The sequence below is a fragment of the Homo sapiens genome, chromosome 3 (assembly GCF_000001405.40).
Source record: "Homo sapiens chromosome 3, GRCh38.p14 Primary Assembly".
Taxonomy (NCBI): domain Eukaryota; kingdom Metazoa; phylum Chordata; class Mammalia; order Primates; family Hominidae; genus Homo; species Homo sapiens.
In genome coordinates this window covers 171,642,642-171,670,035 of record NC_000003.12, presented here as the reverse complement: position 1 = coordinate 171,670,035, position 27,394 = coordinate 171,642,642, and the positions used below count along the sequence as shown (strand labels likewise).

General features: G+C 39.5%; 1 protein-coding gene across 12 annotated transcripts in view; it reads left to right on the top strand.

Annotated features, from left to right (window-relative positions):
- PLD1 (phospholipase D1) overlaps window positions 1–27,394 on the top strand; it is a 210,080-nt gene that overhangs the window by 140,448 nt on the left and 42,238 nt on the right. For 11 of the 12 annotated variants that reach the window (NM_001130081.3, NM_002662.5, XM_047448316.1 and 8 more), the window contains 4 exons: window positions 7,866–7,976; window positions 10,735–10,823; window positions 25,013–25,126; window positions 27,147–27,196. In NM_001130081.3, coding sequence (NP_001123553.1) covers window positions 7,866–7,976; window positions 10,735–10,823; window positions 25,013–25,126; window positions 27,147–27,196 — 364 coding nt within the window. Of the gene's footprint in view, window positions 1–4,708; window positions 4,877–7,865; window positions 7,977–10,734; window positions 10,824–25,012; window positions 25,127–27,146; window positions 27,197–27,394 lie in introns of those variants that run through there. The other variant, XR_007095693.1, reaches the window with a different exon arrangement.

Below are 27,394 nucleotides of genomic sequence, written 5' to 3'. Positions count from 1 at the left end.
ATTTTAACATAGTTGACTGTTCATAATGTAACTTAGAAGCCACAAGCTTATTTAATTGTGAAGAAAAATATAAGGTAGCAATTAAGGGATAGATTCTAGAGCCAGACTGTGTTAACATCTCAGCTCTGTGACATATGAGCTGTGTAACCTCGGGAAAATTACTTCACTCTGCAGTATGTTTCATTCATTTAAAAAACATAAATGACAGTATCTGTCTCACAGGATTGTGGTGATGGTTAAATTAATCCATGCAAAGCATTTAGAAGAGTATACCAGTTTGAGTTCCATCAAAAACAGCCTTCAAGCTTTCGCTAGTGTTTCAAAAGTTTGCAACAGGCTGGGCGCAGTGGCTCAGGCCTGTAATCCCAGCACTTACGGAGGCCAAGGCAGGTGGATTACTTGAGGTCAGGAGTTCGAGACCAGCCTGGCCAATATGGCAAAACCCCGTCCTACTAAAAATACAAAAATTAGCTGGGCGTTATGGCGCATGCCTGTAATCACAGCTACTTGAGAGGCTGAGGCAGGAGAATCGCTTGAACCCAGGAGGCAGAGGTTGCAGTGAGCCGAGATTACACCACTGCACTCCAGCCTAGGCAACAGAGCAAAACTCGTCTAAAAAACAAAAACAAAAAAAGTTTGCAACAAAGAAGTTAACATTTCTCTGGGTAGGTCACCAAGCTTGTTCTAGATAGAAATTTTTATGCCATAAATCTATTGGAATGGGGAGAAAGAGTATTTGACATAATAAAGTAAATAATAGATAAAATTCAAGTTATTCTTTCTTCTGGAGAAGGGCACCTAGTTATTAATTTTTTTAATACAGAAACATTGGTCACACGCCACTGGCAATTCCAGAGGGGGAGACACAGCCAGCCAGGGAGAGGGGAGCTACGGCAGGCAGTATGGATGCCTGCCCACCAGCACGAATTGCTGCTCCTGAAAAAGTTATCTAGACCTGACAGCTGACTTCAGCAGCTTCCACTGTACTTTTAAAAGAATCTTGGATGTTTCCCCTCAGTGCTGGGCCTTCTCAGAAGCCTGCCAAGAGCACTCAGAGAAGACATGGCAGGAAAAGGCATGGGTAGCAGGAGGAAGTGGGAGAGATGGTCCTGAAACTGCTTCTACACAGAGAAGGTGAAGGAACTAGAATAAACTCAGTTCCAGAATGGTCTTAATGGCATTTAAGATATATTATAAAGACAGAGGATATTTGACATGTCTATTAAGCTGAAAGAAAATGCTGAATGCCGTGTCAGCATCAACATGGGGTCAACACATGGGAACAATCCTTTTTAAAGCTCATAGTAGAAACCATTCCTTGGACAGTCATGCTGAGAATTCCTGCCTATATGGAAATAACTCTACTGGAATAATGTCTTCAGTCCTACTTATGGGAAAAGAAGGAAAGAAGGAAGGGAGGGAGGAACAAAGAAAGGAAGGAAGAAAGAATGAGAAAGGAGGAAAGGGAAAAAGGAGAGAGGGAGAGAGGAAGGAAAAAAAAAGAAAATTTTCAAGAAAGTATAAATAACATCCAAATTATACCACTGAAAAAAAATTGTTTTCACGCTTGGAATAAATGTCCAAAGGATATTCCCAAGGATCTGTTAGATCTGAAAGGACAGCAAAATGTTTTGTATCCCAGAATGGTGTGAGAGAATAAAGTAGATAGGTGAAAAATAAAGTGAGCAGGTGGGGGTAAAAGGAATCCACCTTGTCCATTTCCATGGAAGTTATTTACCATGGGAGTTGTTTTCCATGTATGGGCCAGGCCTTCATGGACTAACACGTTTGTGAGTGTTACTGTGGGTCTTGGCTAGAAGAGCTGATATGAACAGGGCATTTGCTGTGTGCTTGGCACTGTGCTAACCCTTTGTGCATTATCTCATATACATTCAGCAGTCTGTAAGCTAAACTCCTGTGCAGCCTGTTTCTACAGATGAGGAAACTGAGACTTTGAGAGGTTAAAATAACGGTAACTAGTGGGGGTCTAGTGCGGTGGCTCATGCCTGTAATCCTAGCACTTTGGGAGGCCAAGGTGGGCAGATCACCTGACGTCAGGAGTTCGAAACCAGCGTGGCCAATGTATTGAAACCCTGTCTCCACTAAAAATATAAAAATTAGTTCAGCATGGTGGCATGGGCCTGTAGTCCCAGCTACTCAGGAGGCTGAGGCAGGAGAATTGCTTGAACCCGGGAGGCAGAAGTTACAGTGAGCAGAGATCACGCCATTGTACTCCATCCTGGGCATCAGAGACTCCATCTCAAAACCACAAACAGTAAGTGGTGGGGATGACTTGCTTCTAAGCAGTTTGGCTTCAGTGCCTGAGGTTAATTAGCTATGGATACTGTTTCCAGTAAGACCAGGATGGTTGTAACTGCTGGGGCTCTAGCAGAGCAAAGTTTCATGTCCTGTTTGCCTTTGGGTATCACCTTCTGTTGCCACAGCCCCAAATCCATCCCTAACTCTCCTTTTGCTTCTTTCTGGCTCCCAAGAACACCCAACTAATACTGTGTTTCCTAGGACTTCTTTCACCTTAAGTCCTATTCTTCAATAATTATCTTTTCTTTCTGTCCTTCAGCCTCAAAATTAACTTTTCTCTTTTGTTCAGGAAAGGAATCATCCTATGTGAATAACTGCACACTGTGATATGAATGGCTGACACTCAACTAGAAAAGTGGCTATGAAAAGAAAGAGCTTGATAAGATGAGACAGGTTCTTGAACTAGGTCAATTTCTTGATGCTCCTTGCCTGCTGTTCTCAGTACAGTCTGGAAGAAAAAGGCCCGACAATCAGAGGCTTCCCTTCTCTCCCCAATGCATACCACTTGTGAGCTTCTACACAGTTGGCCTCTGCTTGTGAAACATATAAAAAGTGCTTTTGTCCTAAATAGTCTTTGTTCCATGATTGACTTGGAATCTCAGGGAAATAAAAAGGAATTCATATATGTGCTGAATTTATAGGGAATAAAAGCATTATGATGAGAGAAAGGAAGGGAATTTGGGACAAATACTAAGAAAGATCCAAAGGTTTTCCTTCAGAAAGAAATTTCTGTTATTTAATCCATACATTTGACTTGGGCCCATAGGATGGAAGGTGATTAGGGATTGTGGTTAAAGAGAAGGCTATATTTTAGGTTAAAAAATAAGACGTAGCACGAAGAAAATGACTAGTCCAAGTTACAGCTTTGAGGTTAAACCATAAAATCAGAAATATGCCATTTTTTATATATTTTAAAATTATGTATTCAAACTCGTGGTTTGAAAAGTATAGATTAGATTTGATTCCCAGCACATTTGGGACGGTAAGATAAGCTATATTTTTGCATGTGAGGGAACAGTTTGAGGGTTATCTCAGTTACATTGGTTTAAAACAGAAATGCAAGACAAGTTGGTGAAGTCAGTGAAGAAAATGAAGAGAGTAAATATTAAAACAAAAGGAAATCTCAGTGGCAATGGAAAAAGGTGAAAAAATAAAACAAAAGGAAATCAATCAAAATGGGTGATAATGGTTTGGCTCTGTGTTTCCACACAAATCTCACCTTGAGTTGTAATAATCCCCCACATGTCATGGGAGGGACCCAGTGGGAGGTAACTGAATCATGAGAGTAGGTCTTTCCCGTGCTGTTCTTGTGATAGTGAATAAGTCTCATGAGATCTGATGGTTTTATAAAGGGCAGTTCCCCCGCACATGCCCTCTTCCCTGCTGCCATGTAAGATGTCCCTTTTCTCTTCCTTTGTGTTCTGCCATGATTGTGAGGCCTCCCCAGCCATGTGGAACTGTGAGTCCATTAAAACTCTTTCCTTTATAAATTATCCAGTCTCTGGTAGGTCTTTATTAGCAGCATGAGAACAGACGAATACAATGGGTTTGACTTATTTGACTGTTGATAAAACTTCCTAGGCCATCAAGCATTTAAAGCAGTTAAGTTGATTTTTATATAACCTCAGGGTTCCCTGCCTGTAGTTCAATGGTCTAGGCAGAGCAAGAAGGAAATTCGTATTTTCCATTTTTCTTGTGGTGATAGGGAGATTTTAACTAATTAGAATAGTAGTAAATGAATAACAATCCCAAGTGATTTTCTTCATGTGTTGCTTGAAAGATATGTTTCAAGTTTAGCCACAAATGATGACATTTTTTAATTAATGAGTTTTTATTGTAAGTAAAGGATACGGGGCTTGGACTCAGGCAATGGGATAGATGATGCTGAAGCCCCTCAGGAGGTAGGAAACCCCTCATACTTGATGGTTTTGCAGGTATCAGGGAGCCCCCTCCGCTTTTTCTTATTATGCTCTCCCACAGGCTGATATATAAAATGGTCTTTTTTTTTTTTCTTTTGAGACGCAGTTTCACTATTGGTGCCCAGGCTGGAGTGCAATGCTATGATTTCGGCTCACTGCAACCTCCGCCTCCTGGGTTCAAGCGATTCGCCATCCTCAGCCTCCCGAGTAGCTGGGATTACAGGCATGCACCACCAAGCCCGGCTAATTTTTGTATTTTTAATAGAGACGGGGTTTCGCCATGTTGGCCAGGCTGGTCTTGAACTGCTGACCTCAGTTGATCTGCCCACCTCGGCCTCCGAAAGTGCTGGGATTACAGGTGTGAGCCACCGCCCCTGGCCATAAAATGGTCTTCTTTTGGCTTGAAGCTTTAATATTTTAAATACTTAAATGCCTACAGATAGAGAAACATTTACCATTATCCTTCACAGAAAAAATGGCAAATATGTGACCTTCAGGCGTCCCCTTCCATGAAAGCCATTGAGGATCAATCTCAGAATTCTTCCCCAGTGCACCTGCTTTCAAGAATCGCCTCTTAACCCAGCTGTCCAGGAAGCCACTCTGAATCTATTAGACTTCATATGCAAGCTGACATTGATGTAATTCTCCTCATGTGTATCTTATGTGAATGAATTTATTGAATCTTATGTGAATGAGTTCATTGAGTCAGAGCAAATTTTGAGAGTGAGAAAGGAAAGAAAGTATAAGGTTTTTGGATTCGAGGGAAAAACTCAGATGTTACCAGCAAGGGTGGGTTATAAACTTTGCCTATAACTTTTTACAGAGGTGGACATACTGTATATAGAATATCTAGTACTAAGTGCCACATACCATTATTATCACTTTGTGTTTGTTATGCCATTTTTTTCTTCACAGCAGCTTTAGGGGATGGGGAGAGGTCTCAGTTGTACAGTGGAGGAAACTGAACCTCCATGATATTTAAATTATATGTAAATTCTCTTACACCTTGGACAAGTCATTTAAACATCATGGAGATTCCGGCCGGGCGTGGTGGCTCACGCCTGTAATCCCAGCACTTTGGGAGGCTGAGACAGGTGGATCACTTGAGGTCAGGAGTTCAAGACCAGCCTGGCCAACATGGCAAAACCCCGTCTCTACTAAAAATAAAAAAAAATAGCTGGGCATGGTGGCACACACCTGTAATCCCAGCTACTTGGGACGCTGAGGCAGGAGAATCACTTGATCCCAGGAGACAGAGGTTTCAGTGAGCTGAGATCATGCCACTGCACTCCAGCCTGGGCAACAGAACAAGACTCCGTCTCAAAAAAAAAAAAAAAATCCTGGAGGTTCCCTTCTTTCCAGTGTAATCTGCAATTGTATACGTTGCCTCCAGAGTTGTATAGAATTACATCAGGATAGCATGAGAATCTTCTCAAAGTAGCCTGCATTTTCAGTGCTATGTTCCTTAGTAACAAAATTAAACATTAATTTGAGTGGACTAAGAATTAAAACTTCTATTTCTTCAACCTTTGTTTTTTCTACCTGATGAATAATAATGCAGCTCCTTGGAGATGATGTAAAATCATGATATTTTTCCAGTGTGGATAATATTTATCTAAATTTTCCTTATGAGTTCTCTTCTATGATATTTAATATATTCATGTTGACAATTAAATTTTGAAATTTTGTTGCACATATTCATCTGATAATTTTTTTAATGCTTTGATTGGCGATATTTTGTAATAAATACCTCATATTGGATAAAGAAATAACACTACTGAGGATGGCACAGTCAGCGATTTTTAGTAAGTGTGAGTTTTGGATTTAATGGCCGTATAGTTGCAATTTTAAAGTTATTGATTTGAACAAGAATTTTTCCAGGCCTTTTATATACAGCAGACATAGAACTGATTATGTATTGGATCGCTTTGTATATTCCTAATGAGTATGGGAGCATTCTTTTTATTTTCAATATCAGTTGACCTTATAAGGGACAGTTTTAATATTCATTTCAAACCAGAAATAGCAAGTATTATTTTTATACTAATTCTTCTGTGTGTCATGCTATTGTTTAAGCACCTACTATATGCCAACATCATACTGCAATGCTAGTTAGAATGTTGGAAAAAAGTGATGACCAATGGTTGCTGAGTGTTGAGAACACCTTCTTTCCATGTTCTCTCATCCTTTCTTCTGTGCACAGCCACAGTCTGCTCTGCAGCATCCCTGACATGACCTGCCACAGCTCAAACACATCTTCTAATGCTCATTAATATAACACTTATAACCACTTAATAGATACCAGGCCTCCTGCTACACATTTCACGGTAATTCACTTAATCCTCTCTATGACCCTATAAAGTAGAACTCCATTTTATAGAACAAAAATCTGAGGCACAAAGAGGTTAAGAAACACGATCAACAGCCAGTAAATAGTTGAGCCAGACTTTGAACCTAGACAGTCCTGCTCTGCATCAGTGTATATAACCTATATTCAGGTGTCTGAGCGAGAAGAAGCTCGAGTAATACAGCCTGGACAGGTGAGTGTCTGCGTAGAGCGAGGCAATGTGAGCGATGAGAAAGAGGCAAATCTGAGAAATCCTCCAAAGAATAAACTGAAGTAGATGTGAGATTGAATATAGACGCTAAGGAGAAGAGGCATGCCAAAGACTAATAGAATGATGGTATGCCCCTGGCCAGTGGGGTATTTGAAATGGGAAATGGTTTAGAGAAAAAAGTCAGGAGCTCCACTTCGATGGGTTTAATCTGAGGTGATGGGATCAATCCCAAATTGACTGGCATGCCACACACATGTGATGAAGTGGCAAAACAGTGTGGCATAGTAGAAAAACTTCGGATATGGAATGACAAAAAGCAAGTTCAAGCTGTGATGCTGATGCTAGTACCTCTGTGACACCATGCAAGTTTCTTTGCTTCTCTGAGCCCCAGTTCTCTTTCCTGTGATTAATTTCCTTTATTATGCCATTAGAAAGTTTAGACTAAAGTGGCGTGCCATGGAACAGACAGCTATTAAAGGTAGAATGAAGATCACATGCCAAATGACCTACCTTTTAGAATGTATTAATCTGAACAATATCTATTTAGGGGAAAAGGAATAATCACATTGTTAAGTCAGAGCTAGGATGGCCATACCATATGGTCCAAACCAGTACCCTTTTAAGAGTAAAGATGGGTGCTCTGAATAAATGCACCAGAACAACAGGGATTCTGGTATAATTGAGGGACTGTCATAGGAAAGGAATACAAATGGTTACCATACTCACAGCCATCAGAAGAGGTACTTCTGAAATAGTCTTTGTAGAAACCACAATTTGTGGTTTCCAGTTTTGAATGAAAATAATCCTGGATGAAAGAGGGTATATTCAGGATGTGATTTCCAGCTGAGGACCTTCCTTATGGACTACATCCAAGGACCAGTTGCCCCCTTTCTCCCCTCTTCCTTAGCAGCATTCCCCACCCCACTACTCTCCTTTGGTTCACACATGACACTCAAGCCACTGTAATCATTCAGTCGTCTGGAAGAAAAAGGAGTGACTTCATTGTATTAATATATCTGATGTCCTCTCCATTGCTAATACTTGTTCATTTCTGATTGCTGCCTTGTAGTTGCTCCGCTCTGCTGCTGATTGGTCTGCTGGTATAAAGTACCATGAAGAGTCCATCCACGCCGCTTACGTCCATGTGATAGAGAACAGCAGGCACTATATCTATATCGAAGTAAGTCTTGCTCATGTAAATTCGTGTGAGAAACTGCCTTCCCTTAAATATCATGCAGAGATTTCAGGGTCCCCAAACTTAGGACCCCTCATATTAATAAGTATATTTTGAGGCGTGAAAAGTGCTGGAGAAGCTCTGGTTCATATCACCTGAATTTTGACCTCCCAAGCATACCTGGAACTGGCTCTGCATTGTCATTAACTCAAGATTCTATTGGGAGTCTCACAAATCTTTGCTGTTAAAATGCATCATCAACTCATTGTAATAGTATTAGACAGAAATACCCCAACATGGATAGGTAAGTTTTGTTTTCGCTTGGGTTGGAGGGTTTAAGTGTGAAGCAAGTTCTATTTCAGGAGAGCACACACAGGGGTGAGTTGCTAAAATAGAGACCACTGGATGCCACTGGTTTGGGCATGGCGGAGTAGGGAGAGTGCAGGGAAAAGAACGTGGAAAAGGAAGATGTGAGAACATTAAGAGCAGGTACCACCTTCTTCAATCCTGTGTGAACTACTATTGATTAGGAAGCTTTTTTTCATCCCAGAATTTTTAGAGCATATGAGAAAATCTGGGGACACTGAGTTTAGTTTGGGAACTTAAATTACTCTTCAAAGTGAATATAAAAATAGTTCAGAGAACTTGAAAAACCCTGAGAAAATAAAAAGTCACAATAATGGAAAAAATAAATCATAGCATAATTTCCTTCCTTATTTGAGTCTTTTCTTTCCCATTGAATTTTTTAAAGGTAGATAGGGGAATGGGTTAACTGAGGAAAACCATTCTAGCCCTGTTTTTCTTCCCCTTGGGTCCTGGCCCTCTCCCGCTCTGCACAGCAACAATTCATTAGAGACAAGCAGGGAAGAATTGGAGCTTTATTTGTTTCATGAGCCTGGCTAGAGAAACCTAAGTTAAATATAATATATTAGCTGGCTAAATGCAGTGTGGTATCCTGAATGGCATCATGGAATAGATATAGGACATTAGTGGAAAATGAGCGAACTCTGCATAAAGTCTGGAGCTTAGTAATGCTATTAGTATTATTAATTTAAACAATTATACCATAGAGATGGAAAGATGTGAAGGCTGGCTCATCTATTGCCCAGAATCATTTTGCTTCATCTCTTTTTAGTAGCATTAACATCAGCTTTTCTGGCCGGGCACGGTGGCTCATGCCTGTAATCCCAGCACTTTGAGGGGGCCAAGGCGGGTGGATCACCTGAGGTCAGCAGCTCGAGACCAGCCTGGCCAACATGGTGAAACCCCGTCTCTACTAAAAATACAAAAAAATTAGCCGGGCATGGTGGCGGGCACCTGTAATCCCAACTACTTGGGAGGCTGAGGCAGGAGAATCACTTGAACCTGGGAGGCGAAGGTTGCAGTGAGCCGAGATCATGCCATTGCACTCAAGCCTTGGTGACAAAAGTGAGACTCCATCTCAAAAAAATAAAAAAAATAAAAAATAAAATAATCAGCTTTTCTTTTTAATGTGACAGTAGTATTAAATGATGTCAGTAACGCCATGTAGGTATACATAGTTGGGACATAGACCTGGTTGACACTCCTCTAGTCAAGATAAGCAGTCAGCATTCATCCGACTCTTCCAAAAAAGGAGAAGTAAAGGACATGACATGTAGCCAGTCTGTGTTTACAGCTGCTGAGGCATGCTAAGCTTCTTTATAATATGAATTCAGAAAAAGAAACATGGTTTGGTTGCCAATGAGATTTTGATTGTCTGATGCCCTAAGGGGAATCACATTCTCAAAAGACTTTCTGCACCGTGTCTTCCTGTAAGTTTGTCTTCTGGAGGCATTTTACAGATTTATGCACTTAAGTATAAAAGCTTATATAGTCATAAAAATGATAATGCCACAAAGGGATGATAATTACGAGTTGTTACATATATATCTCTTTACCTTGAGATGATTAGCAAATATTACTTTGTGATAATTGTCCTTATAAATTACAGATGTGTTATAACAATCTATTCTATTTGAACACATAACATTAGTAATATTTGCACCAAATTTTTCACATTCCTTTATGCAGCAACAAAATATTTTGCATTGTTATGATAATGTTGTAACTTGTTTTCTAGTAACAGTTTTAAAGACTATTTTGTAGATATATAAATAGCAGAAGTACTTAGAGGAAAAAAACATTTTTTATTTTATTAACTGGCTTATATATATGCAACATACAAAAGAGAGTTGAGGCTACTTAAAATAGAAGTTCAGAGATAATAAGAGACCCAGACAAACAAGACAAGGTGAAAGCAGATACCAGGAAATAATGGAGAAAGGGTGGAGAAAACTAGACCAGGCTTTACCATCTACTCTGTTAAAAAAGCAAGCTTAGCATGAGATAGAATGTTTGCCAATATAGAATTTTTAATCATAAGCATTTATACAACATGTGAATCTGAAAAAAACTAGTTTCCCCATTGATTAAATTTGCAGTGTTCCTAAGTATTCTGAGAATGTAATTTAGAAAATCACCTATAAGGAATTCTCATGGTGAAATAATATAGTGTAACTTTCCACTTGATTAAGTGTTACAGGTGATATGACCTGGAATCAGATGAGACCCTGAGTGAGATGAGGCGGCTTTTTTTCTGTGTCGTTGACTTTCTTGATGTGATTTCAGTGATCAGAACACATCTGCTGTGTGAAACATTTTAAAAAATATATTACAGTATTGTTCTTACGTATATTGCTAAGAAAATAAAGACTAACATGATTGTCTTGTTTATTTCTCATAGAACCAGTTTTTCATAAGCTGTGCTGATGACAAAGTTGTGTTCAACAAGATAGGCGATGCCATTGCCCAGAGGATCCTGAAAGCTCACAGGTAACAGCCTTTGGCTGAGAGTTCTCGCTGCAGATGTTCTTGTATTTATTACTAAAATGACTTTGCAAAGCCCATTTTTAAAGTACTGTCATTTCCTAGCAGCTTAAATTTGGTTCAGCCAGCAATAGGTTATTGATGCCTTTAGTCTGAGTCAGTTGCTAAAGATTTTTGACTGCCCTTTCTAGGGAATTTGAATTCTTCCAAGGCACAAAAATTTCTTCCTGGCCAGTCTGTTTCCCACACATGAGGTTTGTGATTTGTTTTATTTAATAGCAGACTATGAGCTGTGTTCGCTTAAAAAAGCAAAACAGACATAATATTTTGCTATGGGTTATATTTAAATTCTTGTTACCGTATGTCATATTTATTCAGCTCATGGGATTTTTTTTTTAATAATTGGTTTGCTGAGATAGAATTTACATACTGTATAATCCAGCCACTTAAACTATACAATTCAGTGATTTTTAGTGTATTCACAGAGTTGCACAACCACCACCTAATCAATTTTAGAACATTTTCATCCACTCAGAAAGAAACCCCATTAGCAGTCATTACCCATTCCTTCTATTTTTAGCCTCTGGCTACCACTGATTTTTCTTTTTCTATAGATTTGCCTAATCTGGGCATTTTGTATAAATGGAGTCACACAATATGGGGTCTTTTATGACTGATTTGTCTTAGCATAATGTTCTTGAAGCTTATCTATTATTATAGCATGTATCAGTATTTCATTTCTTTTTATTGCCAGATAATATTCCATGATGTGGATATACCACATTGTATTTATCCATTCATTAGTTGATGGACATTTGGGTTGTTTCTACTTTTTGCCTATTATAAATAATGCTGCTATAAACATCCTTTACTAGTTTTTGTGCAGATATATATTTTCATTTCTCTAGGGGTAGAATTGTCAGGTTATAGCTAACTCTATGTTTAACATTTTGAGGAACTGCCAGACTGTCTTCCAAAGCGGCTCTGCCATTTTATATTCCCATAGTATATGAGAGGTCCAGTTTCTCTGTATTTGCCAATACTTATTATTATCTCTCTCTTTGATTATAGTCATTCTAGTAGGTGTGAAATACCATTTAAGAAATGGTATTTCATTGTGATTTTCATTTGAATTTCTCTAATGACTAATGATACTGAGCATCTTTGTGTGTGCTTATTGGCCATTTGTGTATTATCTATGGAGAAATGTCTACTGAAATCCCTTGCCCATTTGTTCACTGGGGTATTTGACTTTTTATTTTTGAGTTGTAAGAATTCTTTATACATTCTAGATACAAGTCTCATATCAGATATATGATTCCTAGTTTCTCCCATTCGATGGCTTGTCTTTTTACTTTCTTGCTGGTGTCATTTGAAACAGAAATTTTTTTTATTTTGATAAAAGCTAACTTATCTATTTTTTTCCTTGTATCGCTTGTCCTTTTGGTATCTAAGGAATATAGATAGTGATATCTAAGAAATCACTGCCTGATCTAGGATCATGAAGATTTATGCCTGTTTTCTCCTGGGAATTTTATAGTGTTAGCTCCTACATTTAGATATTTGACTCATTTTGTTACTTTTTATATATGGGGTGAGTTAGGGGCCCAACTTTTTATTCTTTTGTTGATGGATATAGAGTTGCCCTAGCACCATTTGTTAAAAAGACTATTCTTTCCACATTGAATTGTCTTGGCACCAGGGACAATTTCTTCTTATGGCTGATTTCAGCTCCATTTAAAAGTAGCAGAACAAACACATAAGCAAAACCATTATATTTCATTACTTTAAGTCATTGAATGCACGCAGTGAAGAATAAGTGCATATGCATTTGGGAATTAAAACACTTTTTACTTCCAGTGTCATGTGGTACTTTGATATCTTTTTTCACATAATATTTGGGGACTTTTATACTTAAGGACATATTATAACAGTAACTATCAGCATTTTATGTGATTCACAGTTTATAACTACATTATCTCACTGAATCTTCACAACTACACTTGAGAGTAGGTCATGTATTTGTTGTTGTTATTGTTGTTATTATTGCTGTTGTTGCTGTTCCCATTTTTAGGATTAAAAACTGAGATTCAAGAGGTTATGTGACTTGTCTAGGCCACTAACCACAATAGGCAAAAAACAGCTTTGAGCCTAAATCTTTGGACTTTCAACCCAATGCTTCCCCTCACACCACATGACTCTAGTGCATTGATGGTTAGGATTAAAAACCCATTCAGGGCTTCCCCAAGCTGAGGCAAATGTGTTGGGCCTGTAGTTCCCTTCCCCTATTGACCAGCCATTGGATGCAGGCTGACCCTAGGGAGTGGGGATGACCTTGAGTGAGGCAAGTCCCTTTCACCTATGGAGGACTCCATACTTTTCATACCTGGAGGACTTCACTGTGAGTATTCCGTGGCCTACATGCTCAGTAGCTGATGGGATGGATGTCTTGATCCCATGGTGAGGGGATCTAGGCAGCACACTACAGCATCCATCATATCCTGCAGTGTGTACAGTGGATCTCACCTGTGACTACACATCAAAATCACCACTGACTTTTGCAAGATTACAGAGAGCTTGACTCACCTCCAGGCTTACTGGATCATAATTTCCTGGATCGGGGCCTGGCCCCGGTATTTTATACTGTTCCAAAGATGTGTTTTTAAGTGTTTGGAAGCCTGAAAGAATATTTTTCTTTACTGTAGTAATTTGTCTTTAAAAATCTGGACTTCTAAAATAATAAAATTAGGCTGGGCATGGTGGCTCACGCCTGTAATCCCAGCACTTTGGGAGGCTGAGGCGGGTGGATCACCTGAGGTCAGGAGTTTGAGACCAGTCTGACCAGTGTGGTGAAACTCTGTCTCTACTAATAGTACAAAAATTAGCTGGGCTTGGTGGTGCATGACTGTAGTCCCAGCTGTTCAGGTGGCTGCGGTAGGAGAACTGCTTGAACCCAGGAGGTGGAGATTGCAGTGAGCTGAGATCATGCCATTGCACTCCAGCCTGGGTGACAGACCAAGACTCTGTCTCAAAATAAATAAATAAATAAATAAATAAATAAAATTATAGTATTTTAGGGCTACAAGAAACTTCAAGATATTTTCTGATAGAACATTTCCTAGTGATCTTATGAGCTGCTCCTGAAAGGAAAAGGGATCTGTGACTTTAAAAATTATGGTAAAGTAGCACCTGTTGCAGATTGTATCTTACACTTGGAGTTTGACAGAGCACATTAAAGACTGGCAATTTCAAGTTTGCTTTGTGAAAAATGGGAAATTAGTTCATCAAATTTCAAATAAACCTGTGTCATTTAGCTCTGATCTCTCAATAGTCTCATTTTTTTGACAGACACATTTTCAAAATGGTACATATGTCACACATTTAGACTTTCAGTGGATACACACACACATTCTCAAAACATATTTTATGTTCCCCTCACCCCTGGCGTCTCTGCATTCTTGTTAATCTCCCTATGTTAATTGCAACTGTAAAATATATTTTCACTTAATTTCAAATCTGTGAGCTTGTGTTCTGTGAGCTTGTGTTAGGCAAGGTAAAGGCAGAATTAAAAAGCTTATCTTGGGCAGGTGTGGTGGCTCACACCTGTAATCCCAGCACTTTGGGAGGCGGAGGCGGGAGGATTTCTAAAGGCTAGAAATTTGAGACCACCTGTCTTTACAAAAAAATAAAAAATTATCCAGATGTTTTGGTGTGCCTGTAGTTCTAGCTACTTGGAGGCTGAGGCAAGAGGATTCCTTAAGCCTGAGAGTATGAGGCTGCAGTGAACTATAATCTCACCACTACACTCCAGCTTAGGAGATAGAATGAGGCCTCATCTCTAAAAAAATAAATAAATAAAAAATGAAAGAAACAACATATTTTGCAGGTTGCCACCCTGGGGTGACCCCTTTTCACTAATTAGGTGCCATGATGTGCCATCCCAAACTTACCCCTCTCTCTCCATAGACTTCTCTGGTCTCTACTTTTCTGAGACTCAGAACTTCCCTGCCAAAGTCACATTCTTAGCAACAAGTATAATTTTGGCTATTTGAAAAAGAATAGAATGCAGCCCAAAGCAGATGGAGGGAAATGACAGTCCGCAGTCAGCCAGGCCTCACCAAAGAATACAGGCCCTCTGCCAGGTCCCTCCTACCCTGGAGAAATCTGAGTCTTCAAATTGCCAACTCCCTGGACTGGTCTAAGTATTTTTCTGCCAGCGTTGGAATCCAGCCTCACAACAATTCCCCTAAGCAATTTCTCAGTTCCTCTCACTTCCTCTGGTTCCTTCTCAACAGCCATAATTCTTTATAGAAATAAGTTTTGCAAAGCCTTCATGTTCTGACATGACCTAGAGCCTCAGACTCATGTTTACCCCATGCTGACCTCAGAACAGCCGGGGGAATCAGAATAAAAAAAAAACAAAAAACAAATCTTCACTCTAATAAGTAAAACTGTCTCAGAGTTGAAGCCAGCTGCCCAACCCACTTGAAACCTTTCTTTGACAGCTCAAATGTGATTGGCGATCAGAGAGAAAAAAAATCATAATCCACAGTCTAAAATTTACTGTTTTATGCCATGTTTGACTAAGCCAAAAGATAGGACCAACTGATCCAGGTAGACACATTTTTAAACACTGTGTGCCATGAATGAATGGTTTCTGAGGAGATTCTCAGATCTTTGCACATGGAAACTTGACATGCATAATTTTTCTGCTTTGGTAGAAAGTCAGGAAGTGAGAAAGTGCATTTTATAGTGTTAGCAACAAACAGTTGACACACACAATGAAAATAGTCAGTTGACTTAATGCTTCTATGTTTTAATATTAAACTGCATTAAAAATATGCTATTAAACTACATTAAAACAACAATTTTGAACATTGTTCAAACTTACCATGTTCTTTTTTTTTTTTTTTTTTTTGAGACAGTCTTGCTCTGTCACCCAAGCTGAAGTGCAGTGGTGTGATCTTGGCTTACTGCAACCTCCATCTCCCGGGTTCAAGCAATTCTCCTGCCTCAGCCTCCCGAGTATCTGGGATTACAGGCACCCGCCACCACACTCAGCTAATTTTTTTGTATTTTTGGTGGAGACGGGGTTTCACCATGTCGGCCAGGCTAGCTTTGAACTCCTAACCTCAAGTGATCCGCCCACCTCGGCCTCCCAAAGTGCCCCTCATGCTTCTTATAACTGTAGAAGAGCTACTGCTTGCCTGTAAGTGGGTGGTATGGGAAATACCACACTGGGAAATCTGAAATTATTGGGGGACCAGATGTCTGGAGACCTGGATTCTCTCCAGCTCTGTTATCCACAGGTATGTGACCTTCTGAGTACGTCAGTTTGTCCTTCTGACACGCTGTTTCTTCACCAACCACGAATAATATTATCTGTTCTACGTAGCTTATATGAATATATGTGAAAGTAGTTTGTAAGCTGTAAAGCACCAGTTCATGTAAGAACTTATTATAGCATTTCCATGATATTCATCATCTGGAAATATGTTGTTCACTGTAAATTGAAGCAAGGATAAAGAGGCATCATATTCAAATCAGCTGTTTCAAAATTAGTATTTATGCTAGAAAAAGAAATGTTTTAATTTAAAAGATGCTTAAATGTTCCGTATTTTAAATTATTGGACGGCTACTTCTGGATAAGAAAAATTTGTTTTGGTTTCTCACGACTGGCTGTTGTTCATCATGTGACTTGTTTAGGCACACGATTACAACACTCTGTCTAGAGGTTTGCTGCCAGAAACCTATAGCTGACTCTTCCTGGGAATCAATTTTTGATTTCCCTGTTATTGATCTGATAACACTCTCCCCAAAATATAAAGTAAAACAAAATGTATTCTGAAGCATAATATGTGTTTAGTTTAGTATTGTTTTAATTTTAGATGCTATTTACTTTGTTGTTATTTGAAGATATGCAAGCCTTCTAATTGAAATCAGCAATTGATATAATTGAATAAAAATGTTACCAAATAGTTTCTGAGTCTTTCCACATAATCAGTGCTATACCTGTGTTACCTCATTCAGTCTTTGTATCAACTTTATGGGATTGGTTGTGTAATTACTCCCATTCTACAGATGAGGCAGCTGAGGCCTAGTGAAATTAGATAACTTAGCCAAGTCATACAGCTATGGTTGGATAGGAGTAGGACTCAAACCATGTCTGTAGGACCTCAACTTGTGCTTTTTACCAGTAAGCTACAAAGCTTCCCCCATTTCAAGGGATGTAGAAATTTTCGAATGGTAAGCCTCCCAGAAATCTATGAAAAATACTTTATTTTGAAATATAAAAAATTGAATGAGCTGGGCACTGTGGCTTATGCCTTTGATTCTAGCACTTTGGGAGGCCGAGGCAGGAAGATCACTTGAGTTCAGGAGTTCAAGACCAGTCTGTGCAACATAGTGAGACCTAGTCTCTACAAAAAAAAAAAAAAAAAAAAAAAAAAAAATAGCTGAGTGTGCTGGTACATGCCTGTGGTCCCAGCCATCCGGGAAGCTGAGGTGGGAGGATCTCTTAGCCTGGGAGGTGAAGGCTGCAGTGCGCCATGATTGCACCACTGCACTCCAGCCTGGGTAACAGAGCAAGACCCTGTCACAAAAAGAAAAAAAAAATCAGATGAATGTTTTATTTTTTAAAAGCAATGTTTGATAGATTAAAAGTTCTTGGGTTTAAAGAAAAATCTATGTCCATAATTACCATATCCTATAATTTTGTACCAAACTGAAAAGACATGTTGGGCTTGTTTCAGAAGCCTTGTCTTAAAGAAAATTCAACTGCAGTACCTTTTTTTTTTTTTTTTTTTGAGAAGGAGTCTCACTCTGTCGCCGAGGCTGGAGTGCAGTGGCGCGATCTTGGCTCACTGCAAACTCCACCTCCTGGGTTCACGCCATTCTCCTGCCTCAGCCTCCCGAGTAGCTGGGACTACAGGTGCCTGCCACCACGCCTGGCTATTTTTTTGTATTTTTAGTAGAGACGGGGTTTCACTGTGTTATCCAGGATGGTCTCGATCTGCTGACCTCGTGGTCCGCCCGCCTTGGCCTGCCAAAGTGCTGGGATTACAGGCATGAGCCACCGCGCCTGGCCAAAACACATTTTATCTAAGTATGCCAATCATTGGTTTCACATTTTTTCTTGTGGGATAACTCCCAAGCTCTGTACGATTTCTGGAGAAGAGGTTACCTTGGGACACAGATGACAACAGATCGTGGCAGGAGACCTTTTGATTTAGGTCATGTAAATGCTTTTATTCTATTCTAAAAATTGTATAAAATGGTAACCTCAGCAGATAGAGAAATGTAAAGATTAGCACAGGGCAGGGGCCAGCACTCATTTTGAGCCTGAGCATGTGCCCTGGAAAAGAGAGGAAGGAAGAAGGAGACTTAAAAATGACAATGAAAACCGTCTGGGCCATAGTGGGAACAGTTTAGTATAAGGTTCTATATAACCTCATTTGGGGGCCACTCAGGGCTAGGCTTGCCAAAGACTATCAAGCCCAGGGTGAAGTCTAAGTCAAACATGCTGGGGAATCCCTCAGCATTCTTATGTTTGAAAGCTTGCCATTTTCAAAAGATAACCAATGAGAAAACTGATGTGTGTTTGTGCACAATATATAATAGTTCATAATCTATGAAGTCACATAGAGGATAGGTAAAGTCAGTGCTAAATAGGGCCAGCATTTCTAGTGGACTAGTCATGATTTTAGCCAGTTCTTTCATGTGCAGATGAGGAAACTGAAGCCCAGAAGGATCTTCTCCTTTTAAAGGATTTGCCAAGCACAAAATAAAAGGGGTTATGTCCCAAACGACCAAGAAGCTACAGATCCAATTCCAACATAATTGATACCACCATAGTATAAAATTCTCTTTACACACACACACACACACACACACACCCTAAGCCCTAACCACAATTCTTCCTATTTCTGACAGTATTCACTGCTGCAAAATCTACAACGAGACGATTTATAGCAGCTCTTGAAGTTTACAGTAATGAAATACAAACTATAAATCTCAAATTCTCAAAAAAATAAAGTGTCTTGTCACTAGCGAAGCATATCAAGCTTCCTCGGGGCCTTCTTGCCAGACCCTGAGACCCAGTTGTGAGCAGATCAAGCTTCTCCTAACTGTCCTTCATGCTGAGGAGGGACTGTGGGTGAAGGAGGAGGGGCTTATGCAGCAGAGAAAAACAAGAAAAGGAAAGTAGAGGTACATCACTGCTGTGACCCATCTACATGGTACATTCGTACTCTGCTTTTAAAGGTACAAACAGCTTTATAGCAATCACAAAAATTTTAAAATTAATTTTTTTTTTTTTGAGACGGATTCTCGCTCTGTCGCCCGGGCTGCTGGAGTGCAGTGCCGCGATTTTGGCTCACTGCCAAGCTCCGCCTCCCGGGTTCACGCCATTCTCCTGCCTCAGCCTCCCGAGTAGCTGGGACTACAGGCGCCCGCCACCACGCCTGGCTAATACACACACACTACTATTTTCTGTTGAATTGTAATTTATTTTCTTTTCCTAGAGTTCATCTGAATTTCTAGCTCAAGCGCATTTCCACACAATAGGAGGGGTTTTAGTTTTAGTTTTGGCACTTCCTGATAAATGTGGCCAAATTCAGTGATTTCTCATTATTTCCCTTCTATATTCAGCATCAGGGTTCTACTCCTGCCTCCTCTCCCTCCACATCCCGTCCTTGATCTTAATGCTATGGGGCCCTGGATCTTTGGAAAGGGGCTTCCAGACACTGATGTTGATCTCCCTCCGGCCTGTTCTGGCATCTGCTTAACGTAGCTTGGGGACGTCAGCCTTCACCTTTCAGGCCTGCCTCTCTACCACTTCTCCTCTGCTCCTGCCACATCGCATAGCTGCTGAACGACATGCTCCACATTTCTCTGGAGTTCACCTGAAAGCAAGGCACAGATCCTCCTGGCTCTCATATCCTCACATTGAAAAGAGAGTGGGGTCTATCCTGTTTTTCCCCGAACTCAGCTTGAGGCCAAAGGACTGATTCCTTGCCCTGAGTCTTGCTCTTATTTCTCTACACTCCTGCCTCAGCTTAGAGAATCTCTCCAGTTCCCCAAATCTAAAAGAAGTTGATGTTTTTGTGTCCTGCTTCCCTTGTGAGAGTGCCACCCCGGGAGCAATGCCTGCTTCGTTTCTCCGGTCACAGAGTGGGGGAAGTTAACACATTTAAAGGGAAAAATGATTTAATGTTTTATAGCATTGGCCTGCCACATTTTTATTCTCTTATAACATTGCATTGGGGCCATTTTAACACAGTACCAGAAGTATTGTGCTACTGAGCCTTCATAGCGGTCATTTTTAGTGGCTACAAGGTGATCATTCCATTGACTGGCTCAACATAATTTAACCATTCCTTTATTATTGGACATTTATTTCCAATTTTTAGCTATTATACGTAGCACTGCCATAAGAGTTAGTGAATTTTGAAGAAAAACTTTTAACAAGAAGCCTGAGAATGCTGTTTGGTAGAAATTGCTTTGAACTAATGTGGATGAAGTGATTGCTGGCATGATGGGTAGTTATCCGGGGCTTAGTGCCCACTAGCCCCAAAAGCAAGATTGCTTTTAAGATCATAAATATTTTATACACTAGGGGCTCAGATTCTTACCCTAAGCTGAATGCTATCATTTCCACAACCCCCATGTTGTGAGGATTCAGTATTTCCGAAGGACGTTGGATTCCTCAGCAGCTGGAACTCTTGTCCTCTGTGGATTGGATCAAGGAGGCAGATTGGACACAGTGTCCCATGGAATCTTCTGTGCTTTGGCTTACATTCAACCACAATTTTGCGTTTGAAATTCCAGAGCCCTTTTTTCTACAGCAGTGAAAATCTAAATAGTTTCCACTAGTTTGCTGAACGCAGTTTAAAATTTTCATCATTCAGGAAATTTATGAGCTACCATATTGTAAAATAGCAAAGGGCTTGTTATGGAGCTAAGAGAGTCCTAAAAACAAGAAAATGTGAATATTCTGATTCCTACAAACTAAAATTTGCAAGAATGTTTTATAATATTTTTATAGGACATTTCTCAATATCATACATATGAGATCTCCCTTGTAAAATCATTTTTGCTTAAAAAAAAAGATAAAATAGAACTGTCTCTTACAAACATCATCACAAACATTTGTGTCAAAGACCAGCAATACCACTTGTAAGATTTTTCCAACAAATGTGAAAAATTACTTTTGTTAGTCAGCGTAAATATCAAAATAGTTACTTTGAAATAGAAAAAAAATTAGAAGCAATTTAAATGCCTATCAGTAAAGAACTGGTTTAAATATTAAAGTATAGATGCATGGTAGAATATTACCTCCCTGTTCTTAAAAAGTAACTATGTTCTGGCCAGGTGCGGTGGCTCACGCCTGTAATACCAGCACTTTGGGAGGCCGAGGCGGGTGGATCACGAGGTCAGGATATCGAGACCATCCTGGCTAACACGGTGAAACCCCGTCTCTGCTAAAAATACAAAAAATTAGCCGGGCGTGGTGGCAGACGATTGTAGCGCCAGCTACTCGGGAAGCTGAGGCAGGAGAATGGCATGAACCTGGGAGGTGGAGCTTGCAGTGAGCCGAGATCGCACCACGGCACTCCAGCCTAGGCGACAGAGCGAGACTGGGTCTCAAAAAAAAAAAAAAAGTAACTATGTTCTTATGTGGAAGGATTTCCAAGATACCCTGTTAAATGATAAAAATCATGTTCAGAAAAGTGTTTATAGTATTCTAATATTTGTGTAGAAGGAAAAAATACATATATTCTTATAAATTCTTACACTATTTCTAAAAGAACATGGAGGAAACTGTTAACAGGAGTTGCCCTCAGGATGAAGGAGTGAGAGAGATTTTTTTTCACTGTATAATCATCTACCTCTTACATTTTGTACTATGAGCATATGTTACTCATTTGAAAGTAACCTGTTTGGTAGTTCCTCAAAATGCTAAACATAGAATGACCACATGACCCAGCAGTTCCATTCCTGAATATAAACCCCAAAGAACTGAAAACAGGGACTCACAGATACTGTATGCTAGTATTATAGCAGTATTATTCACAATAGCCAAAAGGTGGAAACAACATAAGTGTCCATTAACAGATGAATGTGATATGTACATACCATGGAATATTATTCAGTCTTAAAAAGGAGGGAATTCTGACGCATGCTACAACATGGGTGAACCTTGAAGATGTTATGCTAAGCGAAACAAGTCAGACATAAAGGACAAGTATTGTATGATTCTAATTATATGCAAAATCCAGAACCAGCAGATTCATAGAGACAAGCAGATTAGAGGTTTCCAAGGGGTGCAGGCAGGGAAAAACAGGGTAGTTATGACTGGATAGTCACCGAGTTTCTGTCTGGGATGTTGAAAAGGTTTGGGAATAGATCATTATGATAGTTGTACAACATTGTATATGTAATTGATGCCACTGAACTGTACACTTAAAAATGGGGGCTGGGCGCGGTGGCTCACTCCTGTAAGCCCAGCACTTTGGGAGGCCGAGGCGGATCACCTGAGGTCAGGAGTTCGAGACCAGCCTGACCAACATGGAGAAACCCCGTCTCTACTAAAAGTACAAAATTACCTGGGCGTGGTGGTGCACACCTGTAATCCCAGCTACTCAAGAGGCTGAGGCAGGAGAATTGCTTGAACCTGGGAGGCGGAGGTTGCAGTGAGCCGAGATCGCACCATTGCACTCCAGCCTGGGCAACAAGAGCGAAACTCTATCTCAAAATAAAAAAAAAAGGGTAAAATGGCAAATTTTATATTACATGTATTTTACCACAATAAAATGTAATTTAATTTAAAGACATAAAATATAATTTTATTTAAAGAAAAAAATGTATGTAATATATTATATACACTTTACAAACAAAATGTAATTTAATTTAAAGGAAAAAATTCCTGTTCAGCTTAACCTCTTCTCTACCAGAAACTTCCCCAGAAACATTTTTCCAACCTGATCCCATCCTCCTAAAGCAAATAATACCGAGTGCATAGCATGTGCAAGGGTCTTTGATTGGGTACTACCAAAACCAGAAAGATATGTGGGCAGGCATCCTGTGTTTCAAAGGAGCTTATCACATAGCCTAGAGAGCAGATGTGTGTATCACTATCGTGTAAAGCAGAAAGAGTGCAGAACAGACATCCTGGCCATGTGCTATGAGTGCCGAGGCAAGAATAAAACAACTCTGACTGGAAGAGCCAAGTGGCTTGGCAGAGGAAATAGCCAATAAGGTGACCTAGAAGAAGTGGGATTCACTGGAGGCCCAGAAGGCTGATGAGCCAAGCTTTATTAGTAGGAAGGTGTACCTCTGAACAAAGGGTGGTAGTCTCCTGTCACTGGGCTGTGGTGATGGGAGGATTATACTGTAAGGCAGTATAATCCTGAATTCTGAAAAGGCAGTTGAGGCCAAATGACATCCATTTTTAACTGTCCAGTTTAATTTTTTGACTTTTAAATGTTGGCTGTGGGGAAATAGCTTAATAGCTTAGGTTTTCTTTTCTTTTTTTTTTTTTTTGTCTGTTCTTTTTCGCTATCCTGCTCACCATTTAGGGATGTGAGCCTTTTATTCTTACCAAGCAGCAAACTTGAACAGTTTACATTTTTTAATGTCTTCTTTCCAACTCAAACTATGTTTGCCATCTAGTGAATAATCCATGCCATTACAACAACCTACTCAAGATCCTTGTTTCTTAGCATGGCAGCCAAACTCACAGGCCTCCAAATTTCATTGTTGGTAGTCATTTCTGCCCTGAACTTCTCTTTCCACTTGCCCTGACATCGACTTTAGAGACATCAGTAATAAAATCTGATCCCCCAAAGAGTACTGATAATATTCACATGAAAGAAAAATTTAGTTGTTTAGAAGAAAATGCACTTTAGAAATGAGAAGTTTAAGTAGGATCGGACTTGAAAATTAACCAATGACAACACCTTTGTGTGAATATAGTCCTCCCGGATATCCCAGCGAGATTCATTGATCACAGTGTATGTCACATTCCTTTCGAGGCTTTTTCTTCTCCCTGTATATCCTATAAATAGAGACAAGAACGTTAATAGCTTTTGATTCTGAATAAATGGTACCTATTTGGAGCATACTTCAAATTTCTGATTTTCTGAATGCCCGTCAAAGAGAGAAAGCTACACTTTCTTCTTCTATTGTTATATCATTGAGTAGAATTCATTTTCTTTCAAAGGTTGTCATTAATCACTTGAGAGAATGGGACATGAAATATTGTGTTGTATGTGCAGGGGACTTAAATATACATACTGGCCACTCAGAATTCTTTTTTTTTTTTTTTTTTTTTTTGAGATGGAGTCTCGCTCTGTCACCCAGGCTGGAGTGCAGTAGCGCGATCTCTGCTGACTGCAAGCTCCGCCACCCGGGTTCACGCCATTCTCCTGCCTCAGCCTCCCGAGTAGCTGGGACTACAGGCGCCCGCCACCACGCCCGGCTAATTTTTTGTATATTTAGTAGAGACGGGGTTTCACCGTGTTAGCCAGGATGGTCTCAATTTCTTGACCTCGTGGTCCACCTGCCACGGACTCCCAAAGTGCTGGGATTACAGACATGAGCCACCACGCCCGGCCGGCCACTCAGAATTCTTAAAGGGCCTAGGGTAACATTTTACAGCTGAAAACTCAGAGTTTCTAAGTAGATAATGATGACTTCTGTTTTGGAAAATGTAATGGGTCCAGTGTGTCTTTTTGCCCCTGCGATCTAGGCTATGAGAACTGATTTACTCAACAATTATTAACTGAATGTCTACTATTTCCACGGCTCTAGCTAGGTACTGTGTTAACTATTAAGTTCTTTTTCCAAAACTTTGTTATAGCCTCCCCTACCCGCCTCTTTCCATGGGATCCAAGCAAGGATTTCTTACACTGCATTTTGTCCTACAAGCGATTATGCTGTAGAGAGACAATGGGTACAATTTCTACTTTACTGCCAAGTTTAGCTTGTTATTCAGGCTATGAAGCGATAGCCTGGATGACAGCTTCTGTCTTCCAGTCCAACAGCACACCCTCCCAAGTCCTGAAATGTGACAGAACGTGTTGTAGGAAGCCATTCACTCAATCTCAAAAACCATGTGAACTGCTTGGCTGTCATCTAAAATTGATACTACCTTTTATTTTTTGGGTGAATTTCTCTGCATCTGACCTTTGCAGGGAAAACCAGAAATACCGGGTATATGTCGTGATACCACTTCTGCCAGGGTTCGAAGGAGACATTTCAACCGGCGGAGGAAATGCTCTACAGGCAATCATGCACTTCAACTACAGGTGCCAAAACTCTAAATGGTCTATTTTGAGCTTTCGGTCATGCATCATGTAAGCTGATGAAGGGAATGGCAGTGTTTCTCCACATCCATTCGGTGGAGTGGGGAACAAATGAACACTTTATTTTACTTTCAAATCTTGGCCCGTTTGCTAGTTGATAAAATTCAAATGGAGCCTACAATGATAAATGATTGGCCTAAGACACATGGCAAACATAAAAGAACTAAAATATTAGTCCTTCTTGTATAGTTACTGTCTATTTCTATATATGTATAATGTTGATTAAAACTTATCTTTAAGTGGGTAAATAGCTATTGAGCTTTACATGTACTTTGCAGTAAATAGAGAAAAAATTAAATGCCTGAAATGGTAAGATTTGCTTGTGTTTGGTTATGATTCTTTAGGTAGCAAGTCCTTCAACAAGGTTGATAATGATAGCCTCTGTTAGTAAATAAATTCCCGGAATTTTGTTTTCTCTACCACATCTTTGTTAAAATTTTAGGGAAAGTTTTGTGCTTGATATTTTTAAAAGCTGAGTTTTTATATTTATTTAAAAGGGCACACTTGGGTTCCTCTTGAGGCTTCAGATTTGGCCAGTGGAGCATTGTGAAAAGGGCTGGAAAGTGCTAGCTGGTGGGTTGGGGGAGCACAGGCTAGAAAGCCTGCATAGATGGGGATGGAAATGCACCTCTGACCTTCTCTCAGGGTCACTTAACCAAAATCTCTTATTTTTCTGAACCACCTGTAGTTTCTCACCTTTCTAATCAAACCCTTCTGAAAGGTGGGAGAGGACGAATGATACTTTACATAGAACCTTTGGTAAGTAAAGCAGATTAGGGGTCAGGGCCTTGGTCAAATCGGGGGTGGAGACTTAGATGCCCTCCTGCTTGGGCCCCCTCGCCAGATGCTCCTGCTGGAGGATCTGTGCACAGTTCGAGTGCACCATTGTAGTGGAAATTTTTTTTTAATCCTCTTTTTTCTTACTGATGTTTCAAGCTTGTATCTGTTTATCTGCCAGGATTTCAAGGAAAGATTTTTGTTTGTTTGTTTCCTCCAGGGTGCTTCTGCCTAGTTACAGTACAAGAGAGCTTTAACTGTGCTTTGGCCTATATACTTGGACTGAAGATTTGCACATTTCTAATATTATCTGATTTATAAAATGATAAAGCTTTTCAAGTATTTAAGGCTCTGACATAATGTTTAATTGAATTTTATCAATTTCATTCGCCATTCTAATATTATTTTTGTAATATTGTTAATTGTAATTGTTTTCTATGACTATTTTCTTGCCTTCGAACCAGCTGAATGAAATAACACATTTGGCTTTTGTTCAGAAACAAAAACTATAACCTTTTATTATGCAAAAACATCTCTATTTGCTGGCATCATCTTTAATAATAGCATTTCTCAGGCATAAGTATACTCTTTATTACTCTCATAGAGCAAGCAGATGAAGCATAGAATTTTTGGTTTTGTCAGATTTTATAATTCATCAGTGATTATCAGAGTCTTAAGAAACAAAATCATTAGCAGAGTCCTTTATTTGAGACTATATTTTTCGTTTTTAGTGGTTTTGCTGAATTTAAAGACAGTCCATTCTAATAGTTTAATTTGTAAATTATTCTGCTAAGTGCTTGCCCTTTTCACCTCTGAGAGCAATGTGATTCTCTAAGTATTCTTATCTACTGATGCATTCTAAATTTATCTTTGCTGTTACCCAGTTTTGTAAGAGGGAAAGTTCATTCATGACCCTTCTTTTTTTAATAGCCTCTCTTTCTGAAATCTAACACGAATTTTATAACTTTTCCATTTACCTACCTCAAAACAACTATCATGTCCCTATTAGTAGCATTACAAAAGTGATATTCATGTAACTGTTTTTAGCATTTAGATATATATGTAGCATCTTCTCATAGAAGCACTTGTTCTGTTTTTACTTGTGTTAGGATTAAACCTACAGATACTGCATGGGATTGGTTGTTTTGAAACCTCTGTAATTATTTTCTCCTTTACATATTTTCAGAACCATGTGCAGAGGAGAAAATTCCATCCTTGGACAGTTAAAAGCAGAGCGTAAGTAACTGCTTTTTTTCTCATATCATTGTTTTTTATTATGAAGGTGAGGTATCAGTAATCATTAATGTTTTCACAGTGTGATTATAGAACTCTGTTTATAAAAGGTACCCCACAAAATGTTCACCTGTAATAAAGTATTTATTCTCATTAAGTTGCCCAAACCATTATTCAAATGAAGACACCAAGACTAAATAG